An 18,273-nucleotide genomic window follows, 5' to 3' on the forward strand; every position below is an offset into this window, starting at 1 on the left:
ACTCGCTTTATCTCTGCTCTGTCCACAAAGTGAGCTGCCTGGTGTCTGGGACTGGGGTTTATTCATCTTATTGTCAGTGTCTTATGTTTTGCCTTGTACATAGCAAGGGCTTGATAGTTGTTGACTTAAATCCACTAAGCCATTTACAAAAGCAATATTGTATTATTTCAGGCATGCATACATATGTGAATAGCACAGCTTCCTTAATAACATGTAATTTATTTGATTGTGAAGAGAATGGTAACTGTTTGGAAGTTGTGCTTCTGTAGATAGTACATTAAGTATCTATGGTCAGTGGAAAAAAGCTTAAGTTTTGGAAGCAGAGTTCTGATCTCTTCTCTGCCCCTTGCCATCTTTTTTGTTGTTGTTTAGGTTTTTTACCCCTTTGTAAGATTCAGTTTTCTGTTTATAAAATGGGATAATAGTAAATACCTCCCAGGGGGGTTTTGTAGGTTAAAGGATGATGATGATAATATCAATTACATATTGCACATTTTCTGTTAGCAAGTGGTCAATAAAGTATATTATGTTTGTCATCATATTATTAGTGGTGGTATATGAGACTATTTTGGGAATACAAAAGTCCTTTATTTGATCATGAGTTCTGTTGGGGATGAGGATATTTGATAAGCTGGACAGACTTTGTTTGCATAGCTTTGCTATCTTAATTGGCCTTGAGAAGCTACATTAATAGATGCATTTCACCTTAAGTTAATGGTGCTATTCTAATAACTTATTTATACTTTTTTTTCTAGGATCTAAAGAAGTACCACTTCTACTATTGGTTTTGCTATCCTGCCCTCTGTCTTCCAGAGAGTTTACCTCTCATTCAGGGGCCAGTGGGTTTGGATCAAAGGTTTTCACTAAAACAGGTATCAACAAATAACCAAAATGCACATAAAATTGGGTTGAATGTGCAAGAGTAGTTATGTAGTTCTTTCCAAAGACAAACAGGCACTTCTCTGGATGAAGACGTGGTAACTGAAATCCTCCAAAGGTGGTACTAGGAGCAGACTTATTTAGAAAATGTTTGTAAAGTCATTTTTTTGTATATATATTTATATATGTTTTGAGACTGGGTCTCACCCCCATTACGCAGGCTGGAGTGCAGTGGCACGATCACTGCTCACTGTAGCTTCAACTTCTCAGGCTCAGGTGATCCTCTCATCTCAGCCTCCTGAGCACCTGGGACTACAGGCATCCCATCACACCTGGCTAATGTTTGTCTTTTAATAGATATGGGGTTTTGCCATGTTGGCCAGGCTGGTCTTCAACACCTGGGCTCAAGCAATCTGTCCACCTCAGCCTCCCAAAGTGCTGGGATTACAGGCATGAGCCACCCTGCCTGGTCTGTAAAGTCATTTTGAAGATGTAGTGCACAGTAATTTTCCAGGTTTTCAGTGGTATTTGGTGAAATGCTAAGCCAGTAAGGGGGAATTATAGGAATATTTTGAAACACTGAAAGAATTTACCAAAATGTGGTCTTCATTTTCAATGTGGGGAAACATAAGGCAGTATAGTCTGGGAAAGAGTCTTTGAAACAAAACAGAAGGCATTCTCCTACCCTTGTACCAAGTTGCAGAACTTTTCTACCTGGAGCAGTACATGCAGAGTTAGTCGGTGACATTTGGGATAGATAATAAGTTCATTAGAGATGGTTCCCAGAAGAGCAGTTAAAATAATCAGGCTGGTATAACAGAGACCCTAAACTAGAGAATTCTTATTGTTGTTAAGGCAAAGATTATGTGTCAAGATGATTTGAATTCTTGAAACACATCAATCACTAAAGCCCTGAATACTGATGCCATCATTCAGGGAGCTCTCTTGGAGCTGTTCAGGGAGCAGCCATTATTGATTAAATTTTTTTTGTTGTTGTTCGTACAAATCCGAGGTTGTGGTTTTGTGGAACTAATTTCCCAAGAGGAAATATAAGTAAGGAAAAAGGATTTTGGCTGAGTATTGACTGCTGGCAGGTATGGGGTTTCTTTTATTGAGGACAAAAATGTTCTGTAATTATTGCTGTGGTGCTTGCATAACCCTGTGAACATACTAAAAAAACAAACAGCACATTGCATTATGTACTTTAAATGGGTGAATTGGGCCAGGCACGGTGGCTCACAACTATAGTGTAATTCCAGCACTTTGGAACGCAGAGGTGAGCATACCACTTGAGCTCAGGAGTTCAAGACCAGCCTGGGCAATATCGTGAAACCCCATCGCTATAAAAAATACCAAAAAAGTTAGCTGAGCCATGGTGGTGTGTGCCTGTGGTCCCAGCTACTCAGGAGGCTGAGGTAGGAGGATTGATTGAGCCCAGGAGGTCGAGGCTGCAGTGAGCTGTGATTGCCTGGGTGACAGAGCAAGACCCTGTCTCAAAAAGTAGTAAATGGGTGAGTTGTATGGTATGTTAGTCATGTCTCAGTAAAGCTGTTGAAGATTATGGAAAGGTTCGGGGTAAAATTCATCAGGGGTAGATTCATGTTGGGTTATCATAGGAGAGAAAGAATGTTTCGTTACCGCTCTAAAACTCTGATTGACAGCTTAGGGAACTACCATGTTGTAGTCCCTTTGTGCCCCTAAGACACACACCACCATGCCCCTGGAAAGTGTTATATAAAAGCTAAGTGGTATTATTTGGAGGCACTTCTATGTTCACTTGCTGTAATAGAGTAAGAGGAGTGTGATCAGTCATTTCTAGTCTTCTGGTTTTAAGGTACCTTTTTTTTGAGTTAGTTTTTAGCCCAGAACTAGAAATGTAATTTTCTAGAGAATAACAACGTGTTTTCTGTTTTCAGATTGAAGCACTAGAGTGTGCATATGATAATCTTTGTCAAACAGAAGGAGTCACAGCTCTTCCTTACTTCTTAATCAAGTATGATGAGAACATGGTGCTGGTTTCCTTGCTTAAACACTACAGTGATTTCTTCCAAGGTCAAAGGACGAAGGTCAGATAAACTTTGAGTATCATTTTATTATATAGTTTTTTAAAAAATCTGAAGTTCATGTTACAAGAGACCACTGCAAAATTCAAACTTGTTTAGATTTCCTTAGCCTTCAAAGGATGTTTAAGAACATTTCCTTATCTCTATCCTCTCCCACCCCTACAGTTATCGAATCAGCTCCTCTAGGTTTTTCTAGCTCTACTACAGCTCAGAATAATTTTGATACCTTACTCTTTTTTTTTGTTTGTTTGTTTGAGATGGAGTCTCGCACTGTTGCCTGGGCTGGAGCGCAGTGGCGCAATCTTGGCTTACTGCAACCTCTGCCTTCCTGGTTCAAGCGATTCTCCTGGTCAGCCTCCCGAGTAGCTGGGACTATAGGTGCCCGCCACCATGCCTGGCTAATTTTTTGTATTTTTAGTAGAGACAGAGACGAGGTTTCACTATGTTGGCCAGGTTGGTCTTGAATGCGTGACCTGCTTCGGCCTCCCAAACTGCTGGGATTATAGGTGTGAGCCACTGTGCCCAGCCAATACCTTACTCTCTATTAGTGCTAAAGTTATTTCCGTTTTCCCTCCTGATGTATTTTACCCTCTATGTTTTAATTTTTATTCCCAGAACTACCCTGTAGTTCAGGCCCCTCATATCACACTCCTGGACACTTAGAATCTTGTTTCCATGTTGTGCAACACTACTGTAGAAGAATCTCCCTTGAACTACCCACATTTAGTGTATCATTCATTGACCAAGAGCATAATGGTGTCTTCCTTCTGGCTCCAAGCTGCCTTTCCTGCCTTATCTTCCATTATTTTCCTCATAAAGCATTGCTCCAGCTAATCTTATCTATTTTTCTCCAGAATCTCCATCCCCTTCCCGTCAGATACATCTAAAACTTTTTTTGTATCTTTGTTTTTCCTCGTGTTGTATCATCTTCCTAAAACATGTTCTACTTGTGAAAACCCTAAGAAATTCTCTCTGTCTTATTGAAATTCTATCTCCACTGTGAAGCATTATCATGGTGTGGCCATATATGATCTATCCCTATCTGAAGTCACTGCATTTATTCCCTGATCCTCATTTGCAGGTCCAGTACCTTGTACAAGTTTCTTTTTGTGCCATATTAGACTGTAAGCTCCAAGAGGGCAGGGCCCAAGTCTTATGAATTTGTGTCTGCATAGTGTCTAGTACTTGTCTGAGGCCCTCAATAAAATTCTTTTGAGTGAATGAAAGAGTACCGTAAATGTCTTTTAGAAGTGATCAGATATATAGGAAGTTGTCTTAGCCATACAGGAGACTATGAATTAAAAATATCAAAGATTATGAGTGTTATGAAGTTCTGAAATCAAATGGAATCATCTCCATAGCCATGTGAATATATCAGAGCTGAAAAAAGGAAAGCCTTTAACTGACGGTCTGGTTATTCTTTAGCCTGAACTTAGGATGACTTTTTTTTTTAAAAGCACATTTTAAAATCAACTACATTTACATTTTATTTTTCAGAGGAAGCCCACCTCCCCTTTTTTGTTGTATTTTTATTAGAGATGGGGTTTCACCGTGTTAGCCAGGATGGTCTTGATCTCCTGGCCTTGTGATCCGCCCACCTCGGCCTCCCAAAGTGCTGAGATTACAGGCGTGAGCCACCACTCCTGGCCCAGAGGAAGCCCTTTTTAAATTGAGGACTGAAGATTGAATTTTTATTAAAATTCTTTCCCCCAGGTGATTTCACAGAACCACAGCTAAATTAGTATAGCAATAAGACCGTTAATAATTTAAAGTCCAATCTAGTGTGAAGTCCTCTTGTCATAGCAGGCAGGATTAAATGGCCTGTGTTTGGAAGCGACCGTAGGTCAGGTTGTATGTGGTAAATAAGTGGTCCTCCCCAAAGTGCAGCTCTGCCAAAATAATAACAGTTTGAACAGTGCTTTACAATTAATTTAAAAGGGACTTTCACATACTTGATCTTTTTATGATAAGTCTGTGAAACAAGCGTTAGTTACTACCTGTGGTTAGTTAATTAGTATCTGCATTTTCTGTTTGAGACTCAAAGTCACACGACCACATTGTCTGATTCCGAAGCCTATGCCCTTTCTTTCTTTCTTTTTTTTTTTTTTTTTTTTGTTTTTGAGGCAGAGTCTTGCTCTGTCGCCCAGGCTGAAGTACAGTGGCACGATCTCGGCTCACTGCAACCTCCGCCTCCTGGCTTCAAGTGATTCTCCTGCCTCAGCCTCCCAAGCAGCTGGGACTACAGGTGCGCACCATCATGCCCAGCTAATTTTTGTATTTTTAGTAGAGATGGGGTTTCACCATATTGGCCAGGCTAGTCTCAAACTCCTGACCTCGTGATCCTCCCGCCTCGCCCTCCCAAAGTGCTGGGATTACAGGCGTGAGCCACTGTGCCCGGCCACAAGCCTATGGCCTTTCTACCATTCCCTTGACCTTGGGGAAACTGCATAACTTTTCTTTGTATTAGTTTATCTGTTAAATGGTGGTAATGCCACCTCCTTATAAGGTTTTGTGAGGATTAAACATGATAATGTGAATAAAATGCTGAGCACATGGTAGATGCTCAATATGTATCCACTTCCTTTATGTTTCAACAGCAGTATATTTTGAAAGACAACAAATCTCTGGGGTCTCCTCTGAAGTGCTCTGAGGGATTCACCAGAAACCTGTCCCTGAGACTAACTGCCTGTCTGCTTGTCGGATTCAGGCACACTATCCTTCACTTGGTTAGGGTGGTATCTCAGGAAAGCCTGGAATTACTCAGCACACGTGATGAACACCTCCTTATGGGCCAGAAATTTTGAGATACAGTTGTACTTGTTCTCACACCACCTAAGGTCTTCTAGAGGAGATCAGACATTGACCTGTGGAAAATTAAGGAGAAATTCAAGTAATGGAAGATAAGTTCAGAGAATTGATACGGGTGATACTTTGGTTGGTCTTCTATGCCTTATCTTATTCTAGGAAAGATCACCAGAAGCCTTAGAGCATGATGGCCTCATAGGAGTTTTATAGCCTTCATGCTGCCTTTCCTACCTGTGGCCCTGAATGTTCCTGTCTCCCCTCCACACTGCTGTCCAAGTGCATTTTCTAACGTGTAAATTTGATCATGTAACTCTTCTACTTAAAACCCTTCTAAGGTTCCTGTTGACTTCGGGATAACGTTAAAACTACTTAGCTTGGCGTTTGAGGTCTCTTCAGTTCCAGTTCCTGTCCACCACTAGCCTCATTTAATATTTCCCAAGATACATCCTGTGCTCTGGCTACCCCTGTGCCCTCCAAATGCCGCAGCTTCCCCCATCTCTCTGCCTGCAGACATCTCTCTGTCTCCCTTCTGTCACCTGGCTGCTGCCTCACCTACCTTTCTGATTCATTACCCCAGGAAGCACTGGCTGATTGCTTGCGCCATTTCATTTCTCTCTTCTGTGTTCTGGTAGCAGCCTCCTTCCTAGCACTGACTAGTCTCCAAAGTAATTGTTGATTTGCTTTTCTGCCTGCCCCATATCCCCAGCCTGTGAGCAACTTTAGCACAGAATCTTGTTTGTCCCCACTCTGCGTCCTCAACATTTAGTGCAATGCTGGACACTTAAGAGACACATGATGTGAGAATGCTGAGAGGAAAGAGAGAGAATTGTGGACTGGTATGAAAATTAAAGAAGGCTTTTGCCGGGGGCAGGGCCGAACCCTAGAGAAATAATTTCTAGACATCATTTTCAGTGGTTCTTGCTTTTATTGCATTAACCTTGTTCACTCTCTTTAGCATGATTCCAGTTTCCCTTCGAGCCACGACATTTCCTTGAAGGTTTTCACCCTCTTTTTTCAAAAATAGGCATTCTTTTCAGTATGAAATCCTGCACTTGTGTTCTGGCTTCATGTTTTACTTGATTCTGCCCCCTCCTCCTCCTACCAGCACTTTGTTCCCTGAAAAGTCACTGCTGCTCTTTGAGCCCTGTGTCCTCATGTGTAGGATGGAGAAATGTTGGAATCCCTCTGAGTTTCTCTCTTCAACCTGTTTCTCTTCTGGGTTATCTCATTGTGCCTACAACTCCAGAAACCATTTCCTCCCAAGTAATTCAATTTTCTCTCACCGGCCTGAACCTCCCTCTGGACCCCGGGCCATATTATCCAGCCACCTGCTTGCCTCCTTCTGCACCTTACAATCTTTGCCCCAAGGCTGGTCCTTTTCTGGCTTCATTGGCTCAGAATGATGCTGCTTCTATCCAGTCACACAAGCCAGAAATCTGGTTATCCTACCGGACAGCTGTCTTCCCCCTACCACCCCTGTGTCTTGTGGATTTCATGTCCTGAATGTCTCTCAGCCTACCACCTTGCGTTTCTTCTGCCACCACCTCAATCTCTGCTATACTGCAGCAGCTTCCTAACAAGCCTCCTTGTATCTACTGTGGGCCTCTCCAGTTCATTCCCATATCATCCCCACAGTTTTCCTTAGAAAAGCAGATCTGATCGTGTCCCTATCATAATGAAACACCTGAATGTCTTCTTCCCTGTGCTCTAAGAGTAGGGGCTAAATTCTTTAATACGGCCTACAAGAGTCTGTGTGGCCTGGCCCCTGTGGGCATCCAGCCCCAAGTCATTCCGTGTTCCCTGCCACAGGGCTTTTGCATGCACCTTTTGCCTGGAACTCTCTTCTCTCTCTTTTCTTTACTTCTACCCCTCCCTCCCCCTACCTCCCCTTTGCTCCGTTAAGTGCTCACTCTTTCAAGGAAACCTTCCCTGACCTCTATAAAAAGGTTTATTCCTTCTGTTGCGAGCTCTCATAGCACTGTGCATCCCTTCTTCTTTTTTTTTTTTGAGATGGAGTTTCACTCTTTGTTGCCCAGGCTGGAGTACAATGGCATGATGTTGGCTCACTGCAACCTCCGCCTCCTGGGTCCAAGTGATTCCTCCTGCCTCAGCCTCCTGAGTAGCTGAGATTACAGGCATACGCCACCACACCTGGCTAATTTTTTTATCTTTAGTAGAGATGGGGTTTCGCCATGTTGGCCGGGCCAGTCTCGTACTCCTGACCTCAGGTGATCCACCCACCACAGCCTCCCAAAGTGCTGGGATTACAGGCGTGAACCACCACACCTGGTCCATAATTTTACATTTTCTTGAGTGATCTTTGATTAATATATTTTTCTCCCATTTAAATGTAAGCTCTACCAGGACAGGTACCCTATCTTTGATTTCCCACCATTGTGTCTGCATCCCATGGCATCATGCCTGGTGTGTAAAATGCAATGGAAGGATGAATTCATGCATAAATGAGTTGTGAAGACTGGAGATTGCTCATGGGAAGCACCTGGGTCAGTGCCTGGCACACAGTAGGCCTTCAGTGAGTAGAGGGTAGCTCTTATTATTAGTTCATTGTAAGTGTTCTCTTTAATGTGAGCATTCTGTTGTCTGGTTAAGGCCACGTATTTTACAAAGACTTTCCCAAATTGTCTGTACACCTCAATTTATGTCTAATGAGTTACACACATGGTTACTGGCGTGACAGGAGACAGAATACAGGGGAGGTATATGATCTGCATGGCTGATTCAGAGCAGGGGTTCTTAATTTGGAGTAGGGTGCAGATGCGTAATGTCTGGGAATGTTTTGGAAGTAATGGATCCTCACCCTAGAAAAATCCACATGTGCACACAGTTCTGCGTCTAATGTCAGAGACGCACAGAGTGCTGACATGCTTGGAGGAAGATGAAGGAAAAGACAGGAGTTAGCCTGCCTAGTGGGGAGCCTATGGATTGTTAAGGTCAGGAGGTGAATGAGTCCTCTTTGTTCCAAGTCAGAGTGGGAGCTTTGCATGTGGAGGTACTGTTCACTTGTGTGTGAAGCCTTGGCTGACTATGAGAGAGTGGGTACCTGCCCCTGAAGAGGACACATTGCCAGCCACCAACAGCTGGGACTGCCATGGTCTCAGTTTTGACCGTGACCAGCATGCAGCTGGTCACTCATACATGTTATCACTTATCCTTACATGCCCTGCAAAGTGAGAAGTGTTGTCTGCATTTTACAGATGAGATGAATGGAAAAGAGACTAGGGAATGGAAGCCTCTTCAAATGTGAATGATCTTACCTCCTACAGTGAGAATGCTTCCTATAGTGAAAAAGGAAGCAGCCATTTTTTTTCTGCTCAGCTCACAATGTGTTGGGGTAGAGTAGGAAGGCCAGACTTCAGTTCCCAACAGCTTAATGGGTCGAACCCTCTGAGCCTCAGTTTCCTCAGTGTGTATAAGCATACAGTAACAACACCCCCTTCCTTGTAGGTGGCTGTGAGAACTAAGAATCATTAAGTTTCACTCACATGTTCTAATTGTTCCCACTATATTTTCTTAGAATGTTTTTCAGTTTTCATTTTCAAAGGAAAATTTTCTTTGATTAACCCCAGTTTCCAGCTATTCCATAAAAATGGAGTTTTAAGGTCCCGAGTCACACAGCCAACTCTGCCTTTACCAAAGGAAGGCATAAGAGAAGCCCCTCCTGAGATTGGCAGGGTTGCCAGTTCAGCAGCCCCCGGGACATCCAAGAAAGTTTTACCAGTTCACTGATGGTATTGTCTTTAAATGAAAGCTCAAAAGCAAATGCGCCTGTGATTGGTTTCATCTCACTTCTTGGGTGATGTATGGTTGTTACTGTGATTGCTTAATGCTGGAGTTCTTTGTCATTTATAGTTAAAAATACCTGTTATAACCCAATACATGTCTTTGAATCTGCACCCACACATACACATAACAAAACAAGACTTTTGCAAAATAATGCTTTCCTTTTTCTGTTTTATCTTTTTGAAAAATTCTAGTTGTGACCCAGTAAATGATTTAAGAATCGCAAATAGCTCACCACCTGCAGTTTGAAAAATGCTTTGTGACCATTTTATGACCATTTTGGAAATACTGGCAAATAAATGAACTGTACTAGGTGAGGTTCCATTCATTAGTTTTACTTCCAGCTATATATCTCTGTTTTTAAAATGTCGCAAAGGTTTTCAGCTATTCTTTTACATTTTTAGGTTTTTTTAATATACAAACTTTTTGTATATTTCCTTTTAATCCTGTGCATTTTTTAAAACTAAGATTGTACAGTATTTTGTTTTATTGTAGCATTTTAGCATAATAGTATTATATTCTACACAACATCCTTTTTAATGGATGTATGATAGTATTTTTACCAAGGTTTTGACATTTATATTTCTCATAATTTTTTCACTATTAGGACTGCTTTGTGCATCAAATTTTTCCTCTTTTTCCTCTCCTTATCCCCTGTAGTTTTAATTATTTCCATAGAAAAGATGTCTAGATGCGGAATTACTGCGTTACAGAGTTTGAGGCTGAGCGTGGTGGCTCACGCCTGTAATCCCAGCACTCTGGGAGACCTAGGTGAGAGGATTGTTTGAGGCCAGGAGTTCAAGACCAGCATGGGCAACATAGCAGGGCTCTGTCTCTACAAAAAATTTAAAAATTAGCTAGGTGTGGTGGCACACACTTGTAGTCCAAGATACTCTGAAGGCTGAGGCAGGAAGATTCCTTGAGCCCAGGAATTTGAGTCTGCAGTGAACTGTGATCGTGCCACTGCACTCTAGCCTGGGCAACAGAATGAAACTGTCAAAAAAAAAAGTTAGAACATGTTAAGGTTCATAATCAGTGGTGTGCTGGTAAATGTTTAACAGCCAGCTCTTGTGAGGTAGGAATAGTCCTGTTTTTGTAGTGTTTTCTTACTTGTATGGTACCAGTACTACCACCATGGCCAATTGCAGGCTACCAGTGTGAAGTCCTGGAATGCCGAATTGAAAAGAGACATTAACAGTTGGCTCCCAGAAAAGCCTGTATGGGCCAACTCCAGCACAACACTGCTTATCATAAATGTTTCCCCAAGACCCTGCCAGCTTCCCTCCTACCAGCTGTGTACCCTTACCAGGATCAGATGTTGTAGTATTGTACACATGTGTTAGGTTGAAAATGGGCCTTAAGTTCTTCTCTCAATGAAATGTGGATTCCACAGTCGCACTCCATTGCTACAACAGATCACCATCTTTCAGGCCAGTTCTTGTGATTACATTAAAAATAGCTCATAACATTGTCCCATTACCAATCTTTTGGGGAAGGTTACTTGACTCTTCTACTTCATTCAGAGCAGTTATTGAAGATTGAATGTTTGGGAAATGTTGTGTAATTTCAACAACATTAGCCTTTAATTCTAGGGCTTTAAAATCTGTGGACAAGAGCAATAGCCAAGGAGCAACAATTTATATGCTGTTAGTTGGGCTCTTTCTTCACTTAGTGATCTCTCCGCATCTTGGCAGCTGTCTGTGACTTTGAAGTGCATTAGGTATTTCAGTTTTTTCCCCCATACTTTAAAAACGTGTAATCTCCTTTGTGCATTTCCTGTTATATCAAGTGTTTGAGTTCTAAAGACAGCCATTTGTTAGATTAGCATGTTTTATGGGATCATTGTGGAAAATGTTCTTGCTGAAGACAAGCAAGTTGGCAATTTTGCCCTCTTTTCTTTCTCACAGTGTACTTTTTCAGCAAATTGCTTGGCAGACTGATCATGACTGAATCATTTCAATGAATTGTATGCTCTCAGCCAAGTAGAAAGGAACATTTATTTCATAAAGCTTCTAAACAAAGTTTTTCTTCAGTTACGTTGAGCTTCTTTCTGCTGATTTGTATTACAAAAGGAAGTGATTTGCCCAAGTTCGCACAATTAATTTGTGGCAAAGCCAGTTCTAAAACCAGAACTCCTAGTCAGTGATTATTTATGAAAAATATTTTTTAAAAAATTCTGTTTAACCGTAGTATAAGCTGGCTTACCTAGCATTGTGCCAACTAATCATTCCTCCAATGATTAAGATAGATTCTGAGTTGATTCCTAAAGCACTTAAAGATTTTGGGGTCACTTTTGAATCATCAAAGAAAGATTAAATGATGTTCAGCTTAGTGTTAAATGGATTTTGTCATTTTCCTATTCGACGCCTGCCTTCTGCACTTATGCCTCATATGGGTAGGAAAGTTACCTTAAACCATTTTCAAGCTGACCTGCTTTTATGGGTAAGTGGTAGATTTTCCTCCTTAGCAGATCATTCCTGCTCTCTATAGCCCATGTTAGGTCAGGTTGCTCTAAGAAACTTATTCCTAGTCTTTTCTGCTCAAAAAAAGATTTTTTTTTCACTATTCTACCCCATTGCCTTTGTCCTTAGGGTAAGAAATATGCTTATTCTTTGAAATTAAGCATCCACTTGTAGCATCTAACATAATATTCTAGTTTATATAATTTAGATATCATTTAGTTCCAACTCTACATTTGCACATGATAAAGCCTAGACCCCGAGAATATTTGATAGACTAGAACTTATCCCTTTCTTTTCTTTGCCAGTTAAGAAAAAATAACCTTGAAACTGAAGACAGCTAACTATGTACAGTCACATGCCACATGATGTTTCAGTCAACAATGGACCACATATACGGCAGTGGTTCCATAAGATTATAATACTGTATTTTTACTATACCTTCTATGTGTTTAGATTTGTTCAGATACACAAATACCATTGTGTTACAGTTACCTACAGTATTAAGTATGGTCACATGCTCTCCAGGTTTCTAGCCTAGGAACAACAAGCTATACCAGGTAGCCCAGGTGTGGTGTAGTAGGCTATACAATCTAGGTTTGTGTAAGAACACTCTGTGATGTTGGTATGACGGTGAAATTGCCTAACGATGCATTTTTCAGAGTGCATCCCCATCGTTAAGCATGACTGTCATGGTGGTGGATTGGACTGAACAAAGAGGTCAATGAAGTTACTGCAAGACAGTGTATTTATGTTGCTTTTGTTGTTACTATTTGTTAAGCGCTGGCCTCATTCTCAGTTTCTGTGCTAAGTGCAGTTAAGAATTATCCTATAGGCCAGGCGTGGTGGCTCACGCCTGTAATCACAGCACTTTGGGAGGCCAAGGTGGGCAGATCACCTGAGGTCCGGAGTTCGTGACCAGCCTGACCAACATGGTGAAATTCTGTCTCTACTAAAAATACAAAATTAGCCGGGTGTGGTGGCGCATGCCTGTAATCCCAGCTACTCGGGAGGCTGAGGCAGGAGAATTGCTTGAACCCAGGAGGTGGAGGTTATGGTGAGCTGAGATCGTGCCATTGCATTCCAGCCTGGGCAACAGGGGCGAAACTACATCTCAAAAAAAAAAAAAAATTTTATCCTATAGATGAGAAAATTAAGGCATAGAGAAGTTAAGTAAATTGCTAAAGGTTACACAAGAGCAAGTGATCCAGAATGTTTGATTAAGGGCCCAGGTTTATGAAGTCATTTGCAAATTGTAACTCAGTGTCTCTGTAGGAACGGCATTTTCTAGATTGATACTGCCTAGGTTCTTCCTAAGTAACCCATTTAATAGCCTTTGTGTGTTTTTTGTTGTTGTTTTTCCTTTGCTGGTTTGAATACCCTTTAGATACTCTGTAAGATTGAGCTTTGATATAGTCTGTGTTGTTTTGTGACCTATAGGGTATTTTCTTCTTAAACATTCTCTAAAGTTCTATGATTCTGGAGCCTGAAGAAATCCTTTGAGATGAAAGGTTCAACCCCTTCATCTTGCAGGAGAGAAAGGAACTTCCCCCAATGTCTTAGGATCAGTTAGCTGCAGAATTAAAACACATACCTGCTTACTGTTAAGCAAGTGAGTTTTTCACTACATCAGGCCATTTTCTAATTGTAAGCTGTTTCAATGTTTTGGAAGTAGAAATGCTAGTTTCTCCCTTCTCCCCCTTTTTACACTTGATAGAGTTGTAAATGCTGTTTTTTTTTTGTTGTTGTTGTTTTGTTTTTGAGACAGAGTCTTGCTTTGTCACCCAGGCTGGAGTGCAGTGGCCCGATCTTGGCTCACTGCAACCTCCACCTCCCGGGTTCACACCATTCTCCTGCCTCAGTCTCCCGAGTAGCTGGGACTACAGGTGCCCGCCATCATGCCCGGCTAATTTTTTGTATTTTTAGTAGAGATGGGGTTTCACTGTGTTAGCCAGGATGGTCTTGATCTCCTGACCTTGTGATCCACCCGCCTCTGCCTTCCAGAGTGCTGGGATTACAGGCGTGAGCCACTGCACCCGGCCTAGAGTTGTAAATGCTTTTTATGAATAAAAGCAATGTGAAGTTGAAGCGACGATTGCTAAATAAATGTAGTTGTGTGGCAGACGCTATCTGTCATGATTGGCAGAGGGGAGCAAAATAAAAAGATGTCCCTGATGGAAGAGTAGCAGGTGGGGTGGCCACATGGACCAGAAGAGCTCAAGGAAGACAACTTCTTAATTCGGTGGAAGCCCTGGACTGGAAATCTTGTTCTCAGAGTTCTCTCACTTCTCATCCGAAGCCCTCTTTTTTTAAATCTTACTTTCACATTCTCACCTAGGAGAATCCCAGGGTTAAAATGCCATGAGACCCTGTAATGTTGAGAAAGGAAAGAAGGAAGGAAAAGGAACTTGCTGAGATGCTGCATCACAGTTTTGTATGGAAGCTTCAGGTCTGCGTCAGTCAGGCATCACTTTTCCTGCTCTAGCTGCCTCCCAGGATCCCTGCTCAAGATCTTTGCAGAGGGGGAGTCCGTGTATTGAAGCCTGGAGAAATGTACTAGTCTGTCATCTATTCAATAGATACTTGCTGACTCTCAGGCACTGTGCTTAGGTAACTAGAGATGGAAAGATGAATACAGTGCTCTTGCCTTCACAGAGAGTTATAAACCAGCAAGACATCAAATATAACATGCATCCTGTGTTTTCTTTATTCTAAAATGCTTGTTTCTCCATATTTTAATTTTTCTACAGTCAGGAATTTCTTACAATTGTGTATATTTATGCAGTGAACCCTCTTTTAAGCAAATATTTTCTTCTTTTGACTGTAGACAGCTAGTGCTAAGATGATAGTGTACATAAGAATCACATGCGGTATTCACTGGACATGCAGGTATTGGTGGTACCTAGAGAGGTCTGGGATCAGATTGAGTGTATGTATGTGTGTGGATAGGGTGTTGTGCAAGTTCATCAAGCTTCTAGGCAATTCTGATGCAGGTGGTCTCTGCTGGACCATACTTTGAGAAATTGCTGCAGACAATCAAGAAGTTTGTAACTTGCACATTAGAATCACCTGAGGATCTTTTAAAATGACCAGTACTCAAGCCAGACTCCAGATCGATTAAACCAGAACCTCTGGAGGTGGGACCCAGGCAGCAGTATTTTTGATAGCTCCCCAGGTGATACCCAAGCATCTTCAAGTTTGAGATCCACGGCCATTAGAAGGTTGAGGAGGAGCAGTGCTTCTGAAACTTCCATGGGTGTATGAATCACCTGGGTTCTTATTAAAATGCAAACTCTGATTCAGCAGGTCTGGGGAGGAGGCCGGGGATTCTGCATTTCTGAAGGCTCCCAGGGAAGGCTGATGGATGCATGCTGCTGGGGCATGGACCACATTTTGAGGAGTATGGGAAGATGTAGGGCCAATCCAGAGTTTTCAAGATAATGACAGTTCAGAGATGTTTTCTTTGGTCTGTAAGAGCACCCTCTCTAATACACCCCAAATTCAAGTCCATGGAGTGGACCAGCTGCATCAGAATTATTCAGGAGCCTGGTACAGATAAAGATACAGATTGCTGGGCTCACCACTGGAGATTCTGAGTCTATCACCAATAATGATATTAGTAGCTCTATGTATGTGCTGGACTTTTCATGTTTAGTATCAGCTCATTTAATCCTCACTACAGCTCTATGAAATAAGTAATATATTATTTCCTCCATGATTAAACTGTGGCTTGGAGGGTTGAGTACTTTTCCCTAGGCCTCATTTAGTAAGAGACTACTCAGCGTAGTAAGCTCTGTTTTTAAAAGTGCCCTAGATGCTGAAACCTTATCTCTGTGGGAAAGGAAATCTCAAATAAAAATATTTCCTGAAAGGATGACCATATCTATGAACCTGTTTGTATTAAATTAAATACGAATCTGTCTATTTGCGTTTAAGAAACGAACATGCATTTAGAAAAAAAATGCTTCAATTTTAGGAATAAGAAAATTTTATATAACGGAAAAGGTAGCAAATATTTTAAAGAGTGTCTTTGAAATAATACAGTAAATATCTGATAAGACCATAGTAAAATTCATTTTCAGAGATTGAGCAGATGAAGACTACTTAATTGTCCTTCAAAAGGAAATAGAAAAAATTTGGTACATCAATACAATGGAATGCCATTCAGCCATTACTCACAATGGTTATAGAACATTTACTAGCATAGAAGACAGTTCACAATACAATAAGAGATATGAAACAATATTTAGGCCAGGCGCAGTGGCTCATGCCTGTAATCCCAGAACTTTGGGAGGATGAGGCCAGTGGATTGCTTGAGGTCAGGCGTTCGAGACCAACCTGGCCAACATGGCGTAACCCCGTCTCTACTGAAAAAATACAAAAAATTAGCAGGGCGTGGTAACACATGCCTGTCTGTAGTCCCAGGAACTAGAGAGGCTGAGGCACTAGAATTGCTTGAATCCTATGAGGTGGAGGTTGCAGTGAGCCGAGATCGTGCCGCTGCACTCCAGCCTGGGTAATAACGGTAATAACGTGAGACTCTGTCTCAAAACAACAACAACAAAGACAGTATTTATAGCATGATCCCATGTTTGTTTCAAAGTCCTAGTAATTAAAATATATTTATGCAAAGAATAAGTTCATGGGCAGTTATACACCAAGATGTTAATAGTTCTCTCAGGATGGTGGGGTTATGGGTATTCTTCTGAATATTGGTTAAGCTCCTACTTTGTGGCTGATACTATACCAAGCATTGTGGGAAATAAAAGGGAGTGTTTAGGGTGATTCCATCCTTACAGAACTAACTGGATCTAGATTTAACAAAAATTTATCAGCCGTGTTTTCATTTAACCCATGCTATGCTTATGAAGGAAACCTATGGGTCAATTTATGGTTCTCTGCCAGCAATTTCCCTCCCTCACCCCTACTCACTCTACATCCTTCCTTTCTTTCTTCCACCCATTTATCCATCCATCTACTTTTTTATCATACAAAAAACATTCACCGAGTGTCTGCTCTGTATTTATGAAGGAGAGATGAAAAAGATACTTTCTGCTCTCCATATGCTCTTTGTCTTCCTTTTATTAAAATAAACTTTTTATTTTGGGATAATTTTAGATTTACAGAAGATAGTGGCAAAGACAGTACAGAGAATTCCCATGTACCTTCACCCAGTTTCAGTTTTTTCTAATGTTGTCACATTATATCACCACGGTTCATTTGTCAAAACTAAGAAGCCAGAATTCTTACATTACTATTAACTCAGCTCTAGACATTTCCGATTTCACCAGTTTTTTCCTGCAATACTCTCTGTTCAGGATCCAGTCCAGGATACTACATTGCAATTCGTTGTCATGTCTCCTCCTTAGTTTCCTCTGATCTGTAATTGCTTCTCAGGCTTTCTTTGATTTTTTTTGATGACCTTGACATTTTTGAGGAGTACTGATTAGTTATTTTTATAGAATGTCCCTTAATTTGCATTTGTCTGATGTTTTCTTGTGATTAGACTGGGGTTATGGGTTTTTGGAAAAAATACCACTGAGTGAAGTACCCTTATCACCTGATATCCACATGACATCCTTGGTAATGTTAAATTGATTGCTTGCTTAAGGTAATATTTGCCAGGTTTCTCCACTGTAAAAATACTATTTTTTCTTTGAAAGTAAATCAGTAATTCCAGCTACCTTTAAGGAGGGGAAGGTTTAAATTTTGCTTCTGAAGAGGCCAGTATTTGCTTATATAGTTTGGAAATTTTCTTTAAGGAAGACTTGTCCCTTCACATTTATTCCATTCTTTATTTATATCAGTGTGGACTCGTAGATACTTATTTTATACTTTGGGTTATAATTCAACATCATATTATTTATATTGTTGCACAAATTGTTCCAGCCTTGGCTATTGATAACTCTTACAGTTGGTGCCTGTATCACCTTGGCATGCCCCAATTCATTTGTTTTTTGAGTACCTCCTTCTTTCCTGATATTATAAGATGCTCCAAGCTTCTCTTGTATTTTCCCTGCCTGAGCCCTAGAATTAACCATGTGTCCAAGGAGCCCCGATTTATTTTCTTGGAGAATGGTATTTAGAAGTCAGTATCTGGGTGCTGGGTGCTCATTGTCTTTGAAAGGAAGGAGACAGAAAATGAAAAATGTTATATACAAGGTTCAAAGAGCTGTGAAAGCAGCAAGGACAGGCCAACTACTTCTGCCAGCAGAAGTCTTCACTGAAGAAACGGTATTTTAAATTGAGTAGAGTTTTCCAGATGA

General features: G+C 41.1%; 1 protein-coding gene across 38 annotated transcripts in view; it reads left to right on the top strand.

Moving 5' to 3' along the window:
* Window positions 1-18,273, top strand: part of ATG7 (autophagy related 7) — a 303,957-nt gene that overhangs the window by 40,152 nt on the left and 245,532 nt on the right. For 35 of the 38 annotated variants that reach the window (XR_007095622.1, XR_007095623.1, NM_001349238.2 and 32 more), the window contains 2 exons: window positions 756-872; window positions 2,796-2,945. Coding sequence is in view for 34 of the 38 variants with exons in the window: in NM_001349232.2 (NP_001336161.1) it covers window positions 756-872; window positions 2,796-2,945 (267 nt within the window). In the remaining 4 variants the exon portion in view is untranslated. Of the gene's footprint in view, window positions 1-755; window positions 873-2,795; window positions 2,946-18,273 lie in introns of those variants that run through there. The other 3 variants (NM_001349236.2, NM_001144912.2, XM_047447309.1) reach the window with 2 other exon arrangements.

The sequence above is a fragment of the Homo sapiens genome, chromosome 3, assembly GCF_000001405.40.
Source record: "Homo sapiens chromosome 3, GRCh38.p14 Primary Assembly".
NCBI lineage: Eukaryota > Metazoa > Chordata > Mammalia > Primates > Hominidae > Homo > Homo sapiens.